Source organism: Homo sapiens, chromosome 10 (genome assembly GCF_000001405.40).
Source record: "Homo sapiens chromosome 10, GRCh38.p14 Primary Assembly".
NCBI lineage: Eukaryota > Metazoa > Chordata > Mammalia > Primates > Hominidae > Homo > Homo sapiens.
Window position 1 is genome coordinate 72,705,457 of NC_000010.11, and position 18,073 is coordinate 72,723,529.

Below are 18,073 nucleotides of genomic sequence, written 5' to 3' on the forward strand. Positions count from 1 at the left end.
GGATCACTTGAGGTCAGGAGTTCGAGACCAGCCTGGAAAACATGGTAAAACCCTGTCTCTACTAAAAATACAAAAAAAAGACTGGGCTCAGTGGCTCATGCCTGTAATCCCAGCACTTTGGGAGGCTGAGGCGGGCGGATCACCTAAAGTCGGGAGTTCGAGACCAGCCTGACCAACATGGAGAAACCCCATCTCTACTAAAAATACAAAAATTAGCTGGGTGTGGTGGCACAAGCCTGTAATCCCAGCTACTTGGGGGGCTGAGGCAGGAGAATCATTTGAACCCAGAGGTGAAGGTTGCAGTGAGCTGAGATTGAGCCATTGCACTCCAGCCTGGTCTGTAAGAGCAAAAACTCCGTCTCAAAAAAAAAAAAATTAGTCGGGTGTGGGTGCACACGCCTGTAATTCCAGCTACTTGGGAGGCTGAGGCAGGAGTATCTCACTTGAACCTGGGAGGCAGAGGTTGCAGTGAGCCGAGATCAAACCACAACACTCCAGCCTGGGCAACAGAGCAAGACTCTCTCTCAAAAAAAAAGGGGGTATATTCTGTTTATTATATGTTTATTGTATTCTCTGAAGCTTTGTGCTATAACTGAATTTTATGTTTGTTAATTAGAAGAATGCTTTTGAGTAATTTTCTTTGACTTTATTCTCTTTAATTTTTCATTTTTATAATAATATATAAGTTGATAAAGAGCTTTCTAATGGCCTTAACTTGTTTTGATTTCCTTTAGGGACTATTGAGCATTGTATGATGGTCTTATCTTTTTTTTTTTTTTAAGTAGCCATTACTAAGCATGAAACCTTTTCGTAGTAAAATTGTAGCAGCCTTCCCCTGTACATTAGAAATATAGATATATGAGATTCCTACTGCTTCTGCTGCTCTAGTGACTCAGAAGGTATAACAATATATAACTGAAAACAAATTATTTGGAGTGATTATAGCATTTTTATTGACTAGGTATCTTACTAGATTGCTTTAGACAACACACATTCTTTGGTTTTCCAGTTATTACAGTACAAAAGTGTCGGTATTTATTTCTTTGGTAACTATGAAATTTTTTAGAGACATTACAGTATCTTCTCTTTTTTTTTTTTTTGAGACGGAGTCTCGCTCTGTCGCCAGGCTGGAGTGCAGTGGCGTGATCTCGGCTTACTGCAACCTCCACTTCCTGGGTTCAAGCGATTCTCCTCCTCAGCCTCCCGAGTAGCTGGGACTACAGGCGTGCGCCACCACATCCAGCTAATTTTTGTACTTGTAGTAGAGACGGGGTTTCACCATGTTGGCCAGAATGGTCTCGATCTGTTGACCTCACGATCTGCCCGCCTTGGCCTCCCAAAGTGCTGGGATTATAGACGTAAACCACCGCACCCGGCCTTTTTTTTTTTTTTTGAGACAGTCTCACTCTGTCGCCCAGGCTGGAGTGCAGTGGCACAGTCTCAGCTCACTGAAACCTCCATCTCCTGGGTTCAAGTGATTCTCCTGCCTCAGCCTCCCGAGTAGCTGGGACTACAGGCACATGCCACCACGCCTGGCTAATTTTTGTATTTTTAGTAGAGATGGGGTTTCACCATGTTGGCCAGGCTGGTCTTGAACTCCTGACCTTACATGATCCATCTGCTTCAGCCTCCCAAAGTGCTGGGATTACAGGTGTGAGCCACCACACCTGGGCGGACTGCAATATCTTCTCTACCAGAAGAGAGATTATATTTGTAATGCTGTTGGTGAGCATTTTGAAATCTTTTTTTTTTTTTTTTTTGAGAGAGAGTCTTGCTATGTCACCCATGCTGGAGGTCAGTGGTGTGATCTTGGCTCACTGCAACCTCTGCCTCCTGATTTCTAGCAATTCTCCTGCCTCAGCCTCCCGAGTAGCTGGGATTATAGGTGCGCATCACCATGCCTGGCTAATTTTTGCATTTTTAATAGAGTCGGGGTTTCACCTTTTTGGCCAGGCTGGTTTTGCACTCCTGACCTCAAGTGATTCACCCGCCTCGGCCTCCCAAAGTCTGGGATTGCAGGCATGCGCCACTGCACCTGACTCGCCTTTTGAAATGTTATGGGAGCCAAGGATTGCTGTACCATCACAGAATATTTTTATTATTAGTTTTCTGAGATAGTTAAATAAATGAAGAGGTGGTCGTGGTGAGTGGTGTGTGTGTGTGTGTGTGTGTGTGTGTGTGTGTGTGTGTGTTTCCCACCAAAACAAAAGTAATTGAAGAGAATTTGGTGCCAAGTGGTATAATAGGAACTGGATCTGTTCCTCTTTGTTCCGTTAACTTGCTGTTTGATCTTGGACAAGTGACTTAACCCCTTTGGTCTTAATATTTTTGTCAGTTAAATAAGGATGCTTGATTAGGTGAACCTAAAGGGCTTTTAATTTTTATTTTATTTATTTTTCTGAGGTGGGGGTCTCACTATGTTGTCCAGACTGGTCTTGAACTCCTGGGCTAAAGTGATCCTCCTGCCTCACCTTCTTCAGTAGCTGTGACTACAGGCACGTACCACCACGTTCAGTTCAAAAAAAAACTTTTAAAATTATAAAACATGTTGTATTTTTATACAGTACTTTACAAGTAATTATGTTATTTCATTAGATGGCTTGTGTAAAATCATAAACTCAGGTATTGTGTATTTGCTTATTCTCACAAGGGCCAAGAGCTTGAAATGAAGAAAAACAGCCTTCAAGTTCCTCTTTAAGACAGTTTTCATAATTATTTCTGACATCTTCATGAACAATTTACCTTGTATTCCCCTTAAACAGTTCATTATGCCTTTAGTCTCATCTTTCACCTTTGTTTTCTTTTCTCTAATCCAAATTGCCGAAGGGAGTGGAGGAAGAGGTGAAGATGTGGAAAGCCCAGAGAGTTGGAGAGTTGAGAGAAGGAAGAAAGCAGTTAAGGTCAGAGTATTGAAGTAAGATGGGACTGTACTAGTAATTTATTAATTCTGAGTTGTACCTTGCCAGCCTGAAGCAGAAAATGTTTTATTTTGTAGTAACACTATAGGAATCCTAGGTGTGAAAACCTTAAGTGATTAGTTGCCTGCAGGAGTCAATAGGCATAGTGGCCCTTAAATTCTTCCAGCTCTGTGAACTGAGCCTAGTATAGTGTCAGTAACATAGACATTCAGTCCATGTTGGGTGAATGAGAGTCAAATAGTCCTGGCAACTATTGTCTAAATCCTTCTCCCCTGTGGGTAACACAGCTGTAGATCATCTTGTTCTCTGTGCCCAGATACTACAGTGATGGGAATTATGGGAATGTCAAGAAGGAATGACTTCTCTTTGATTCATGAAGCAGCTAATACTCTTAAAACAGTTTCGATTGTGCTGAAACAAGCAGGACTAAATAAAATGCTCAGTAAAAATAGTAATGAAAAAGATTGTAAAGCTATTATGTTAAAAGTAATTTGAGGCCAGGCTCAGTGGCTCACGTTTGTAATCCCAGCACTTTGGGAGGCTGAGGCAGGAGGATCACTTGAGCCTAGGCTGCAGTAAGCTTTGATTGTACCACTGTACTCCAGCCTGGGTGACAGAGTGAAATACCCTATCTCTAAAAAAAAAAAATTTAAGAAATTGATACAGTGGCATCTACCTGGCATGATTGGTGGGGGTATGGGCCATGCTGGACACTGCAGAAGAGAGAAAGGAACTATTTCAAAGAGGTGCTGCCAACTGTAGATTCTTTCTGTATATATATATTTCCAAAGAAGGCAGATTTTTGGAAGTGTTTATTTTGGAACTAGTCTTGTGTATTTCCATTCTGTCCCCACTGTATCCTGTATTTTGCACTGCCAGAATTCTGATAGCTGCCGTGAAGCAGGGCTGTGGCAAGTGGCCAAGTGTGATAAAAACCTATTTTTCATTTTAAAACAATACAGATGTCAGAATACTTTAAAGAAGTATTTAAAGATAGATTGAGTAGAATGGAACAAATAGTAAAAATCTAATGAGAAGATTGAAGGTTTTTCATTTGCTTTTGATGGAATTACATTTTTTGGAAACAGAAGAATACCAGGTTATGTCTTTCTTGATCTGTTAGTTTCTCTCTCTTTCTCCCTTTTTCCTGATCTGTGAATGCTGGTGCTAGACACTGCTGAATAGACAGGAAAAATGGATTTTCTGGTGTTTTTTTTTCTTTTTTGAGGGGACCCCTAGGGTATACTTTGTGTGAGTATCTGACTAGATATAGATATAGATGTCAATAGTTTGGTTTTGTTTATTTATTTTCTTGTTTTAACCCCAAAGAAAATGAAATCTTGTTTTCTTTTTATTTTCAGCTGTGACTTAAACGTTAAAATGCTGCCTAAGCACAGTTGAGATAGTAAAACAGGATTTTAGTGTAACATATTACAGAATTTTGGAATATTCATTTACTTAATGGACAGCTGAACTCCAGTCAGTGCTTTCTTTAAGTTTAATGTCTCATCCTGCATTGGTGTTCGATTCAGAATGAATTCAAGTTCTTAGTGTGGCCAACTGCCACAAAGTTGGGTGAACTTTAAATACATAATGGCTTTCTGTTTTGTTTTGTTTTTGAGATGAAGTCTCGATCTGTCGCCCAGGCTGGAGTGCAGTGGTGCGATCTCAGGTCACTGCAACCTCTGCCTCCCTGGTTCAAGCAATTCTCCTGCCTCAGCCTCCTGAGTAGCTGGGACTACAGGCACATGCCACCATGCCCGGCTAATTTTTTGTACTTTTTAGTAGAGATGGGGTTTCACCATGTTGGCCAGGATGGTCTTGATCTCCTGACCTCGTGATCTGCCCCCCTCAGCCTCCCAAAGTGCTGAGATTACAGGTGTGAGCTATAGCGCCTGGTTAATGGCTTTCTTTTTAATGATTCTAGAGCTTTTAACATGAGAAAGTAGAAAATGAAAGGAAACTATAATAGATTTCTTGCCTAAAATGGGTGTTCTTTGTAAGATGAAAAGTAGAGACAATCTGAGACCCTGAGTTATGGATCCGAAGGTCACATCACAGCCAGCATTAGACAGTCATAGCACTAGTGGAAGAAAAGGCAGAAGGTAAACTACTGATGGGAATGCTGTCAAAGGAGCTCACTTGGAAAGGCCATTCCATCACCTAAGGTTTTTTTTTTTTTTTTTTTTTTTTTTTGGTGGAGGTGGAGTGGTCCTTTATAAGGAAATTACATTATGTTCAATCAGACATACAAGGACAAAAATCTTTTATTTTTAAATTGTGAAGTATGTCATGTCTATAAAAAGTAGAATAATATAATATACAACCTTTAGCTTGAGAAATTGAACATTATGATTATAATTGCTGCCCCCAAGTACCATTCCTTAGACCTCTCTCCCAAAAGTAACATTCTCTTAAATTTGATGTTTACCATCCCATGAGTGTGTTTATCCTTTATCTACACCTATCTTATATAGTTTTGTAAGAATGTTTTAAAACCTTATTTAAAAGGTATTAAACTGGCCGGGCGCAGTGGCTCATGCCTGTAATCCCAGCGCTTTGGGAGGCCAAGGCAGGTAGATCACCTGAGATCAGGAGTTCAAGACCAGCCTGGCCAACATCATGAAACCCCTGTCTCTACTAAAAATACAAAAATTAGCTGGGCATGGTGGTGGGCGCCTGTAATCCCAGCTACTTGGGAGGCTGAGGCAGGATAATTGCTTGAACCTGGGAGGCAGAGGTTGCAGTGAGCCGAGATCATGCCATTGCACTCTACCTGGCAACAAGAGCGAAACTCTGTCTCAAAAAAAAAAAAAGTATTACACTGTATGTATCCTTCTGCAAATCTTTTTTTTTTTTTTTTTGGAATGGAGTCTCCCTTTGTCAACCAGGCTGGAGTGCAGTGGTGCGATCTCGGCTCGCTGCGATCTCCACTTCCTGGGTTCAAGTGATTCTCCTGCCTCAGCCTCCTGAGTAGCTGGGACCATAGGCGTGTGCCACCACACCCAACTAATTTTTGTATTTTCAGTAGACATGAGGTTTTGCCATGTTGGCCAGGCTAGTCTTGAACTCCTGACCTCAAGTGATCTGCCTGCCTCGGCCTTCCAAAGTGCTGTGATTACAGGCATGAGCCACTACGCCTGGCCTTTTTTTTTTTTTCCCTCTTAATACTTAAAAAAAAAAAAATTAGGCCAGCACAGTGGCTCATACTTATAATACCAGCACTTTGGGAGGCTGAGGTGGGAGGATTGCTTGAGGCCAGTAGTTTGAGGTTACACTGAGCTATAATTGGGCCATTGCACTCCAGCCTGGGGATAGAGCAAGACTGTGTTTCTTTTTTTTTTTTTTTTTTTTTGAGACAGAGTCTCACTCTGTCCCCCAGGCTGGAGTGCAGTGGCACAATCTCCATTCACTGTAAGCTCCATCTCCCGGGTTCACGTCATTCTCCTGCCTCTGCCTCCCGAGTAGCTGGGACTACAGGCGCCCACCACCACTCCCAGCTAATTTTCTGTATTTTTTAGTAGAGACAGGGTTTCACCGTGTTAGCCAGGATGGTCTCGATCTCCTGACCTCGTGATCCGCCTGCCTTGGCCCCCCAAAGTGTTGGGATTACAGGCATGAGCCACCGCACCCTGCCCAAGACTGTGTTTCTTAAAAAAAAAAACCCAAAAAACAAAAAAAAACTTATTTAGTTGATACATGTGGTTCTGGTTCATTCATTTTTAACTACTTTGGCGTTTCTGTCTCTATTTCATATATTTAAACCTCTGTTAACTGACAGACTTTTTGCTGAATATTCTGGGGGACAGGAAAAAGGAATTTATTATGTCATTTTTAAAGTTAGACTAGGAATGCTGTTTTGACTTTCAAAACCAGTTTTCCTTTTTTGGTGTGGAATGTCCTCGTTTATCATATTCCTGGGAAAATCCTTTGTACTTCCTGAGAGAAGGCAGAGAAGAAGAATGTTTTATTACATAGATGAACATGTCTTGTACAAGATACAGAGCAGCATCTGCCACAAAACAGTGAGCTCGTGGGGGATTGAGCTGCTGCAACAAAAGCCTGGGTTACTAAAATTCTCAGATATTTCAAGTGCAGACAAGCTGTGGGTGGAAATTTGTTGGCATTAATTCATTGTTTCTTTTCTGTGTGTTTGGAATTATCTGCAATTTGGGTACTATCTGCTTTATTTTGTAAAAGGAGATGCGCCTTTTATGGTAAAAAGGCTGTTCTTGAATTGTGTCGTGGTTTTATGGGGCAAGCAAAAGAAAAGTAAGGTCTAGAAATGAGGGGACATACTTTTTGAGACAGGTAGTTGGTGTGAAATAAATATTTGTTTTAATAATAATTCTGTACATATTAGTCAATGTATATTCTTACTTTGAAGTCATTGTTTTAAAAAGACAATCTCTGATAAAATTTTATCTTCTCAATTTCATGCTGTTGTCTTTCATTTCCAACACTCTTGATAATGGTTTGAACATTTTTGCAGAGTACACAGGGCAGAGCTTCATTCAGGTTGTCCCTCCAAATGATTTGCTGTAGTGCATTAACCAGAAATGCTGAGGCAGCAAGGGAAACACTAATAAATTGGATGGTTTCCAGGGACTGTCGCTACGGCAAGCAAACACAAGCCAAAATTAAAATGTTAGTTAGGCACCCAAGATATAAGTCTGGCCAGATATGCTATTAACAGTGAATCTTCCATTCTCATTAAATTATTTGAGATCTGTACAATTTGAAGATTGTTACAAATGGTGACCAATTTTAAGCATATTTTAATTAGGGGTGGTATAATAGTCTTTTGGCTAAAACTTAATTAGAATGAAAAAATACTTTTGCCTTTTTTATTTGATAGATTCCAGTGCCTCAGGAATGAACCTCCAGTAATGGGAGAGTTTTTTTTGTTTTGTTTTGTTTTTGAGACGAAGTCTCACTCTTGTTCTCTAGGCTGGAATGCAGTGGCGCAATCTCGGCTCACTGCAACCTCCACCTCCCAGGTTCAAGTGATTCTCCTGCCTCAGCCTCCCGAGTAGCTGGGATTACAGGTGCCTGCCACCAGGCCCGGCTAGTTTTAGTATTTTTAGTAGAGATGGGACTTCACCATGTTGGCCAGGCTGGTCTTGAACTCCTGACCTCAGGTGATCTGCCCGCCTCGCTAGTGCTGGTTTTCTTGCTAACTACACAAATTATACTTCTGTAGTAATTTTCACAAATTATTTTACCGTGAAAAGTATAGGTATGGGGAGAGGAGATAGTGGTATGTGAAAGGGCCTTTTGTATTTTTCTTGTTTTGGAATGATTTCCAATCATTTTCAAACAGAACCTCTAAACCAAAGAGTTTGTGTGGCTTGGCAAATGAACCAGAATTTTTTTTAATTTAGTACTTCAAGGTTTCTAAATTTTGTAAACTTGTTTCTGAAACTAGTGAAAGCCTGAAACTAGTGGATGGCCTAAGACTTTTTTAATTTAAAAAATGTTTCTTATTTCTTCATTGTTTGTTAGGGTTCTATCAGTTTTTTATATTCCGGACACACAGAGATGGGGTGAATTTGTTTTCCTCTTTCATCATTTGTGTGTGTGTGTGTGTGTGTGTGTGTGTGTGTGTGTGTGTTGGAGTCTCGCTTTGTCGTCCAGCCTGGAGTGCAATGGCGCGATCTTGGCTCACTGCAACCTCCGCATCCCTGGTTCAAGCAGTTCTCCTACCTCAGCCTCCCGAGTAGCTGGGATTACAGGTGTGCTCTACCACACCTGGCTAATTTTTGTATTTTTAGTAGCGATGGGGTTTCACCATGTTGGCCAGGCTGGTCTCGAACTCCTGACCTCATGATTTGCCCACCGCGGCCTCCCAAAGTGCTGGGATTACAGGCATGAGCTACCACGCCTGGCCAATTTTTTTCTTGTTTAATCTAAAAATATTTCTAAAAAAATTTGTTTATGAGCTGTTACTTCAGTTCCCCCCGCCCTGGTCTTTTTTTTTTTTTTTTTTTTTTTAAAGAGATGGGGTCTTGCTTGTTGCCCAGGCCCAGGCTGGCCTTGAATTCCTGGGCTCAAGCAATCCTCCTCCCTTGGCATTTTGAATAGTTGGGACTATAGGCCCACACCACCACACCCAGCTAACTCCCAATTTTTATATCTGTTGAGCTTATCATGTGATTGTCAAATATCTATTATTACTATTTTTTTTGAGACAGAGTTTCCCTCCTGTTGCCCAGGCTAGAGTGCAATGGCATGATCTCAGCTCACCGCAAACTCTGCCTCCCGGGTTAAAGCAATTCTCCTGCCTCAGCCTCCCAAGAAGCTGGGATTACAGGCATGCAACACCACGCTGGGCAAATTTTGTATTTTTAGTAGAGACGGGGTGTCTCCATGTTGGTCAGGCTGGTCTTGAATTCCCAACTTCAGGTGATCTGCCCCCCCCTTGGCCTCCCAAAGTGCTGGGATTACAGGCGTGAGCCACTGCGCCCTGCCCAAATATTTAATACTTTGTTTCTGGAAAAAGTATTTTAGAGTTTCTTACGGTCAATCTGGATTTATTCTAGGTTACAACTAATTTTTTTTAAAAGTGCTCTCTTGTCCTAAGGGTCACTGTGATAACTAGTGGCTAAGAATGACTTAAACAAGGTCTTTTCAGACTTTCTTTCTTCTTTGGCATTATATGCTGAGGTACCCACATTAGCAGGCTCAAGAGGGCCTTTACCTTTGACATTTACTTTACTTTTTTCTATTCTTTTAGGTCTTTCACTACCATTCCTACAGTGATTGGCAAGATACCGTTTCTACCTCACTCTCCATGTACCATGCCAGTGACATCTTAGCTGCTAGAGTGTGGAGCTGGCCTGTGGGAGTCAAGTAAGTGCCTTTTTTACTATTTGGCATGGTTTTTGCTTACTTTGCAAAGCCATGTAGAGGAGCTTCTTAAGATTAGTTTTTAAAAAGGCACTTGCTTGATCCTTGTGGGCTGGCTCTTTGCTCCAGCCTGCTATTGAACACTTGGTAGCTAACATGGGGCTGAGTTTAGTGAGGTGACTGTTGCACAATAGAATATTTTTACTATGGTACACCCTAAGGGATAATATATCTGATCTTAGCCTGATTAGACCATATTGGTAAACAACCCCAATAAATCAGAACTATGCTACCTCACACAGTTACTCTGGTCTCCTGGAAATTTAATAGGGTGTGGATGACCAAGGGTCTGTCTGCTGGTGTAAACCAACTGGATTGCATGGAAACAGGGCAGCTCTCCTAGGAAAGCCAATTACCTTGGCATTTATCTTAATTAATTTGGCTTAATATATGGAAGAAGTAATGGTTGAGGTTAATCAGGTATGGGTTTCTATGTTTATCATTAAAGTTGCTAAAACCTGGTATCTTACTTTTGCAGGTCATCTTGTAAATTTTGCCTATATAAATTAACACATCCCCTGTATGTCATAACAACCATGTAAGGGAGAGTGTTTTCCTGCTCTGTCTTAGGTATTGGTGATGTGACCTGTTCACGCAGGGGAAACTTGAACATTCGCAGGTATGTGAAGATCATGATTCATAAGCATTTTCTCCCTGCAAGCAAAACAGTTTATTTTGGTGTGAACTCATGTGGTTTTATGAAATCTATGTTGCCAGTTGATTTTTCTGCCCCCTGTTACTGTAGAACAGGCGTTGACAAACTGTAGCATAAATGGTTGCTTGATTTTGTAAACAAAGTTTTACTACAATACAGACATATCCATTTGTTTACAGATTGTCTGTGGTTGCCCTGGCACTATAAGGACAGAGTTTAGTTGTTACAACAGAGACTATATGGTCCATAAAGCCTAAACTATTTATTATTTAGCCCTTTAAGAAAAAGTTTGCCAACTCCTACTATAGGCAAACTAAACTTCAAATTGTATTTAGAAATAAACTTGCCAGAACCACAGTTGTTTTCAAATAGGCTTCTAAAGAGAAAACCAGGAAAGTCAAGACCTGTGTCATAATGCTGACTAGCAAGTAAATATTTGCAATATGCATAGTGGTATGATTGATTACTAATACAAGGTTACTGAAATGGAAAGCTGTAATGGCAGTCCAGCTTCTTTATCTTTTCTTTTCTTTCATTCATTTATTCTCTGTCTTTCACACTGACTCTCATTTCTCTTTCTCTTTTTTGCTTTCTCACTGGGTGTAGGCGTTCATTCAGTGGTAGGATGTTATTACTATTATTGGATTCTCTAAAGGTTTTATAGGCTGGGCGTGGTAGCTCACACATGTAATCTGAACACTTTGGGAGGCCGAGGTGTGAGGATCGCTGGAGGCCAGGAGTGCCTAACCAGCTTGGGCAATATAGTGAGGCCCCATTAAAAAAAAAAAAAAATTAGTTGGGCATGCCCCTGTAGTTATGGCTACTCGGGAGGCTGAGGTGAAAGGATCGCTTGAGCCCAGGAAATTTGAGGCTGCAGTGAGCTGTGATCACGCCATTGTACTCCAGCCTGGATGACAGAGCAAGACCCTGTTTCTTAAAGAAAGAAAGGACTTCCAGATTCATGGAAGAATTATTACAGTTAAAATACCAGTCAGGGTAATGGAAATTGAGGACCAGAGTTATTCAAGGATCACAGAGCAAATCAGTGTTCTACTACTGAAATCAGAGGGTAGGTCTCCTGCCTCCTTTCCTAGGGTTCCTTTTGCTAGGTCTCACAACATATTAGGCGATGCTTGTTTTCCCTACTATTTGAAAGGTGCACAGTCTATTTCCTTTCTCTCTCTCTCTCTTTTTTTTTTTTTTTGCCCCTGAAGTAAAAGCAAAGACTCAATGATTTAAACCACAAAGATATGGTTGTTAAGAGTATCGGTCTTAATTGGAGTTTGGATGCTTTTATTGTTTGAAGATAACTAGGGGATTGCTTCTTTTTTTTTTTTTGGAGATACAGTCTCGCTCTGTCGCGCAGGCTGGAGTGCAGTGGCACGATCTCGGCTCACTGCAACCTCTACCTCCCGAGTTCAAGCAATTCTCCTACCTCAGCCTCCTAAGTAGCTGGGTTATAGGCGCCCGCCACCACGCCCGCTTAATTTTTGTACTTTTAGTAGAGACGGGCTTTCACCATGTTGGCCAGGCTGGTCTCAAACTCCTGACCTCAGGTGATCCACCCGCTTCAGCCTCCCAAAGTGCTGGGATTACAGGTGTGAGCCACTGTGCCCAGCCGGGATTGCTTCTTAATGAGTCACTAAGTGCTTATAGTATATACTCAGAAAGGTTGGCTTAGATGGAATAAAAAAAGAAGTTAGAGCCTTGTTCATAATTTTGAAGCTAGGAGCAAAACTAAAATTGGCATAGATAGAATGCTTTCCTCATATATCTATGTATCTAAGACCATAGATAGAAAGTATATTTGTGTATGTGTGTGTGGGTATGTGTGTCTAACAGCTTTAAAAGTGCATCTGGATTGCGTTTTGAAAGGAGTTTAGCAGGTGTATTACAATCTGTAGATTATGTTGCAGAGTTTTAATTGGACTTTTAAAAATAAATTTTATTTTTGAACAGTTTTAGATTTACAAAAAAATGGCAAAGATCTTACACAGAATCCCCATATATCCCTCACCTTCTTCTATTATTAACATTTTACATTACTTTGGTACATTTGTTACAATTAACAAACCAATCTTGATACATTATTATTAACTAAAGTCCATACTGTATTCAGATTCCCTTAGTTTTTGCCTAGTGTTCTTTTTCTGTTCTTGGATTAAAGGAATTTTTATTAGCATGTTCGTTGAAATAGGAGACATTTATATGATCACCTGAAGGTTAGGCTAGTTCTGAAGTCCCTTTCAATTTCCAAGAGTCTATTTAAATGAGTACAACAGGCAAAGTTTGGACTTGTAATGTTTATATTCTCCTGTTAGGTGTTGGGAAAAAAAATTGTTACTTTATCTTATTGATAGTAATGGCTCTTCAATTGTTTCTAAATTTTAGCATCATCAATTTCAGAAAGGACAAGATGGATTTGGTTACTTCTGTCATTAAGTATCATATGCTAAATTGCTGGTGAAAATATTCTAAAGTAAATTGCCTCCTTTGGGAATGATGTGGATCAACTATCCTACGTCAATAAGTTTTTTCCCGCTGAAAGTAGTTTTGGAGTCCATACCTTCTGATGAATCTATTAATCATTCATATTTCCCTATGAAGATTTAAAAATATTTATTCCTTAAAAGTTCATTAGTTATTTACAAAAGTTGAACACATGCATGCCCTATGACTCAGGAGTTCCATTTCTAGGTTTATACAAAACAGAATTATGTGTCTATCTATATTCACCAAAAGACCTGGACAAAAATGTTCATGGCAGGACTGATAGTCCAAACTGGAATTTTCCAAGTGCCCATCAACAGTAGAATAAGTATATAATTTGTGACATAACCACATAATGAGTATTGAACAGTGATCAGAATGAACAGGTTACAACTACATATAAAAATGCATGGTTCTCACAAATAATATGATGAACAAAAGAAGCCAGACACTAACAGTGTATGATTCCATTTATATGAATTCAAAAGCAGGTAAAACTAATCAATAGTGTCAGAAGTCAGGAGACTGATCACCTTTGTTGGGGGTTTGGGGAAAGTGTTTGACAGAGGGTATGAAGGGGGCTCCTGGGGTGCTAGTAATGTTCTGTCTCTTGGTTTAGGCATTGGTTACATGGGTGGGTTCATTTTGTGAAAAAATTATCAAGTTTATACTTTTTCATTTACATGTTATTCAGAAAGTATATACAAAAAGTATTAAAAGTATTAGCAATTCTGGAAAACACACAGCATTTCACTGTTAACATTTAAAGGATATGTAGAGAACCAGTTGAGCAAATGAACCTTTTATCTTAGAATATATGCTGTCAGAATTATAGGATTATCAAGGTACCATTATGTTACTGGAGCTGTTACAGTCTTAGTCTTATTTGTATTATAAGAAGAATAAAGTAGCTGATGTTAATAATCTGTTGTTATTGTAACCAGGTTTTTGAGATGCCCCAAAGAAGGACATCTTTTCCTTTTGGTCTGTTTTGATTCACCAAGTCAAAACGTTCAGGTATTCTTTTAGTACAGTAAAGAATGATCGGTCAAATAGTTGTGCATTTGGAATATTCATGTGTTTACGAGTGCTGGTATGTGTTCCTTCCCACTGATTGTTACATCAGCAAGTGAGCTGTAGTCTTGGTTGTGTGTGTATTTTACATGTTCTTTTGGCTTTAAGGTATCACTTAACATAACCAGAATGTAGAATTTTCTTCCCAAACAGAGCTCTTTTTGTGATTTTTCTTATTGTCACTTTTGGTTTTTCCAGTGACTTGAGGATAAATCACCTCAGGCATTTATCCTTTATATTACAAACATACAATTATATTCTCTTAGTTATTTTAAAATATACAATTAAATTATTATTGGCTATAGTCACCCTGTTGTGCTATACAATTCTAGGTCTTATTCATTCTTTTAATTATTTTGTGCCCATTAACCATTGCCACTTCCCAATCATTTTTATTGATTGATTAGTTGATTGATTGAGATGGGAGTCTTGCCGTGTGGCACAGGCTGGTCTTGAGCTCCTGGCCTCAAGTGACCCTCCCACTTCAGCCTCCTGAGTAACTGGGACTGATTACAGGTGCAAAATACTACGCCCATCTAATTAAATTTTTTTTTTTGGAGAGACAAGGTCTCACTAGGTTGCCCAGCTGGTCTTGCACTCCTAGCCTCAAGCAATCCTTCCACTATGGCCTGGGATTACAGGCATGAGTCACTGTGCCTGGCCAATAATGTTTCTGATAACCAGTGACTGCTTACTAACTTTCAGGTTGTGTGACATGCCATACATACATGATTTTATTTCATTTATTCTGTGCACCAGTCCTATAAAGTAGGTACTATAATTTCTACTGCTGAAGAAATAAAGACAGGAAGGTTCTATGTAACTTGCTCAAGCTAGTAAGTGATGGAATTAGGAATTCAGGTATATGTCTGCATACTTCCCAGTTGTAACCTCTGTCTCCCCATGCTCCTGAATGCCATGAATAGATTACTCCTTAATCACCAAGTGCATTCCCACCTTTTTCTTAGCCCTTTCACTTTGCAGATCCACTGACTATTAGGCCCTGACTTGTTCCGTTTGTTCCTTTCTCATCATCTCACTCTATCCATCCTTCAAGGCACAGCTCAAGTCCTATCTGTTCAGTGACTTCTTCCTTCTCCTTTCCAATTTATAGAATACTCCTTAGCCCTGCCACACATTTTATACTTCCATTGTGTTGAATCTATCTTTTTATATACGGATGCTTTAGTTTAAACTTCAGATTGTAACCTCCTTGAGGAAAGGGCTTGGATTACAGATTTTACTTGTATTCTCTGCAGTGTCTTATAATAGATGTTCAACAAATGTATATGTTGATCAATTGAAATGATAATAGAACCCTTAATAGCTGAAGATATGTAACGTGCATCTAAGACTCCTGGTTATTTGAGCTTCTTGAAGTACTTTATACATCCAACTAACAGTCTTAATTCAGAACCAGGAATGACATGTTTAGGTTAGAGTTAGATACTGATTTCTAGACAGGAAGCTTAGTAATTGTTGCTACATACTGATCCAAGTAAGAATAGTTCTTTATATCCAGAGCCTGAATGAAAGAGCCAGTGGTGAGACAGTGAGTTGATTACTTCTCACTGTTTCACCACTGGCTCTTTGGTTCATGCTAACAATGTATCTCACCTAGATTATATTAACAGCTTTCTAATTAGTCTCCCTGCTTTTGTTCTTTCTTACCTCTGGTCGTAATTCAGCAGTGGGAATGATGACATCAGGCAGAAGGAGACTTATTCAGTAGCTTCTGATCTCACTCAGTAAAAGACAAAGTTCTTCAAGGGGCCTACAGGTAGTGACAATAAACTGGCTCTCTGGAGGGGGAAAAGGTTCTGATTTGTAGCATTTGCCTGTTTTACTGGTATAATTACTCCCACTCTGGCTGATTCAAAGTTCTAGAATGTACAGCAATCTGCTCCCCAGTCAATATCGGCTTCAGCACATCACTGTTGAACATTTGGCTCCCCGTCTGACTCCCATCTGCTGCCACTTTCCCTCTTGCCCACTCCATTTTGTGATACTGACCTCCTTGCTATTCCTCAAACATGCTGAACATGCACCTACCTCATAGGATTTTTGCACTGCAGTTTTCTATCATTAGAATGCTTTTCTCCTGAATATATACAGGTTTTCTTATTTCTTTTCCCTCTTGAGTCTCTGCTGAAATATTATATTCTCAGTAAGGTCTTCCATGATCTCCTTGCATGAAAATTTTATTTTATTGGTTGTTCTGAGATGATTTTAATATACACTACAGTGTTTTTGTAGTCATCTAGTGCCTTGCTGTAGTGATGCATTACTGCTATTTCTAGGCAATGTCATCTGTGGGTGGGCATAATGGTTATATTTGCTGTTGAGACTTAAAAAGAAGCATTTCATTTTGTTTGAAACGAAAATATCTGTGATACATATAAACAAATCAGTTTGGGCCTCTTATTGGTAATTGCAACTTGAATTACTATCCACTTAGGCTCCTTATGGGGAATGCAACAATATTTATGGTTAAGTGTACATTTGATAGTATATTGTTCTCACAGTAACATCATTGTGGGTTTGAAGATCTGTGCTAAGTTATGAAACAATGGAATTTATACACTTTATTTGAAGATAAATTGGGTTTATAGGGAATTCTTGGTATAAATATTAACGTGTAGATTAGTATAACATACTGTTTATTATAATTAGAAAAAGCTGTGGGCACTTAAATCCCAGCTACTTGGGAGGCTGAGGCAGGAGAATCACTTGAACCCGGGAGGCAGAGATTGCAGTGAGCGGAGATTGCACCTTTGCACTCCAGCCTGGGCAACAAGAGTGAAACTCCATCTCAAAAAAAAAAAAAAAAAAAAAAAAAAAGGTACATGACTTCTTATGAACTAGATGCCACCTTTTCCCCTTAACCTCAGCTGTTTCTTTTTCTTTTCTGTTTTATTAAGGAACTTTAACCTCCCGCTTGACTTAGTCTAGGCATAGCTAATATTACAGTGAGGTAACAAGATTGAGTTGTAGTTATTGGCACTTTTTTCTTTCTTTCTTTTTTTTTTTTTAACATGCAACTATTTTTACAAGCAAAATTCTAGTGTAACCAGAGTTGAAAACATGATAGCTATAGTTACTTTTTAAAAATTAATTTTTCAGGGGTAACTTTGACAACCCATTTTTGGGGGGAGTTTGATTTATAAGTCAAAGAAGAGAGTAGCTTGCACTGAAAGTTGCTACTTCTTCCTGTTAGATGATTAAGAAATAGAGACAAAATCTGTTTCTTTTTTATGAGGCCTTTTGTTACTTTCTTGGGTGACATTTTAAATAAAATTTGCATTATTTCTTTTCTCAAGACTACTGGACATGGGAGAAAAAGTCCCTTTTCCTTATCAAAGCTTAATTTCCTTTATTCTATTACTGTTATCTTCAGAAAATGTTTATTTTTGGCTGGGTGTGGTGGCTCACGCCTGTAATCCCAGCACTTTGGGAGGCTGAGGCAGGTGGATCATGAGGTCAGGAGATCAAGACCATCCTGGCTAACATGGTGAAACCCCATCTCTACTAAAGATACAAAAAATTAGCTGGGTGTGGTGGCAGGTGCCTGTAGTCCCAGCAACTTGGGAGGCTGAGGCAGGAGAATGGCATGAACCCAGGAGGCGGAGCTTGCAGTGAGCCGAGATTGGGCCACTGCACTCCAGCCTGGGCGACAGAGCGAGATTCTGTCTTAAAAAAAAGAAAAAAAGAAAATGTTTATTATCTAGTCTTTTTTTTGCAGCTAAGTTTTTAAAAATTAGCAAATTTGTCAGAACGAAGATTAAATTAATAAACTTAGTTTTCTGTTCTATATATGATGCTATGATTCTTATTTTTTCTAACATATTCAGAATCATTCATTTTTAAAAAATTTCTTTCTATGATAAAAGTACTAAATCTTTTATCATAGAAATTGAGATGTACAGAAAAATGGAAGAAAGAAAAAGTGCTACTCAGAGACAACCATTGTTAACATTTTTATGTATTTCCTTTTAGACATTTTTTAATGGAATTCATCTTGCTTTGA

At 39.4% G+C, this 18,073-nt stretch overlaps 1 protein-coding gene and 1 non-coding gene across 5 annotated transcripts in view; both read left to right on the top strand.

Moving 5' to 3' along the window:
- Window positions 1-18,073, top strand: part of MCU (mitochondrial calcium uniporter) — a 195,552-nt gene that overhangs the window by 13,314 nt on the left and 164,165 nt on the right. The window contains exons 2-3 of one of the 4 annotated variants that reach the window (NR_073062.2): window positions 9,655-9,770; window positions 10,398-10,446. The exons of the other annotated variants lie outside the window; for them this stretch is intronic. The gene's annotated coding sequence lies outside the window, so the exon portion shown is untranslated. The remainder of the gene's footprint in view (window positions 1-9,654; window positions 9,771-10,397; window positions 10,447-18,073) is intronic. 4 annotated transcript variants of the gene reach the window in all.
- On the top strand, window positions 15,573-15,644 carry MIR4676 (microRNA 4676). The gene has a single exon (NR_039823.1). It is a non-coding gene; the product is annotated as a microRNA 4676 (primary transcript).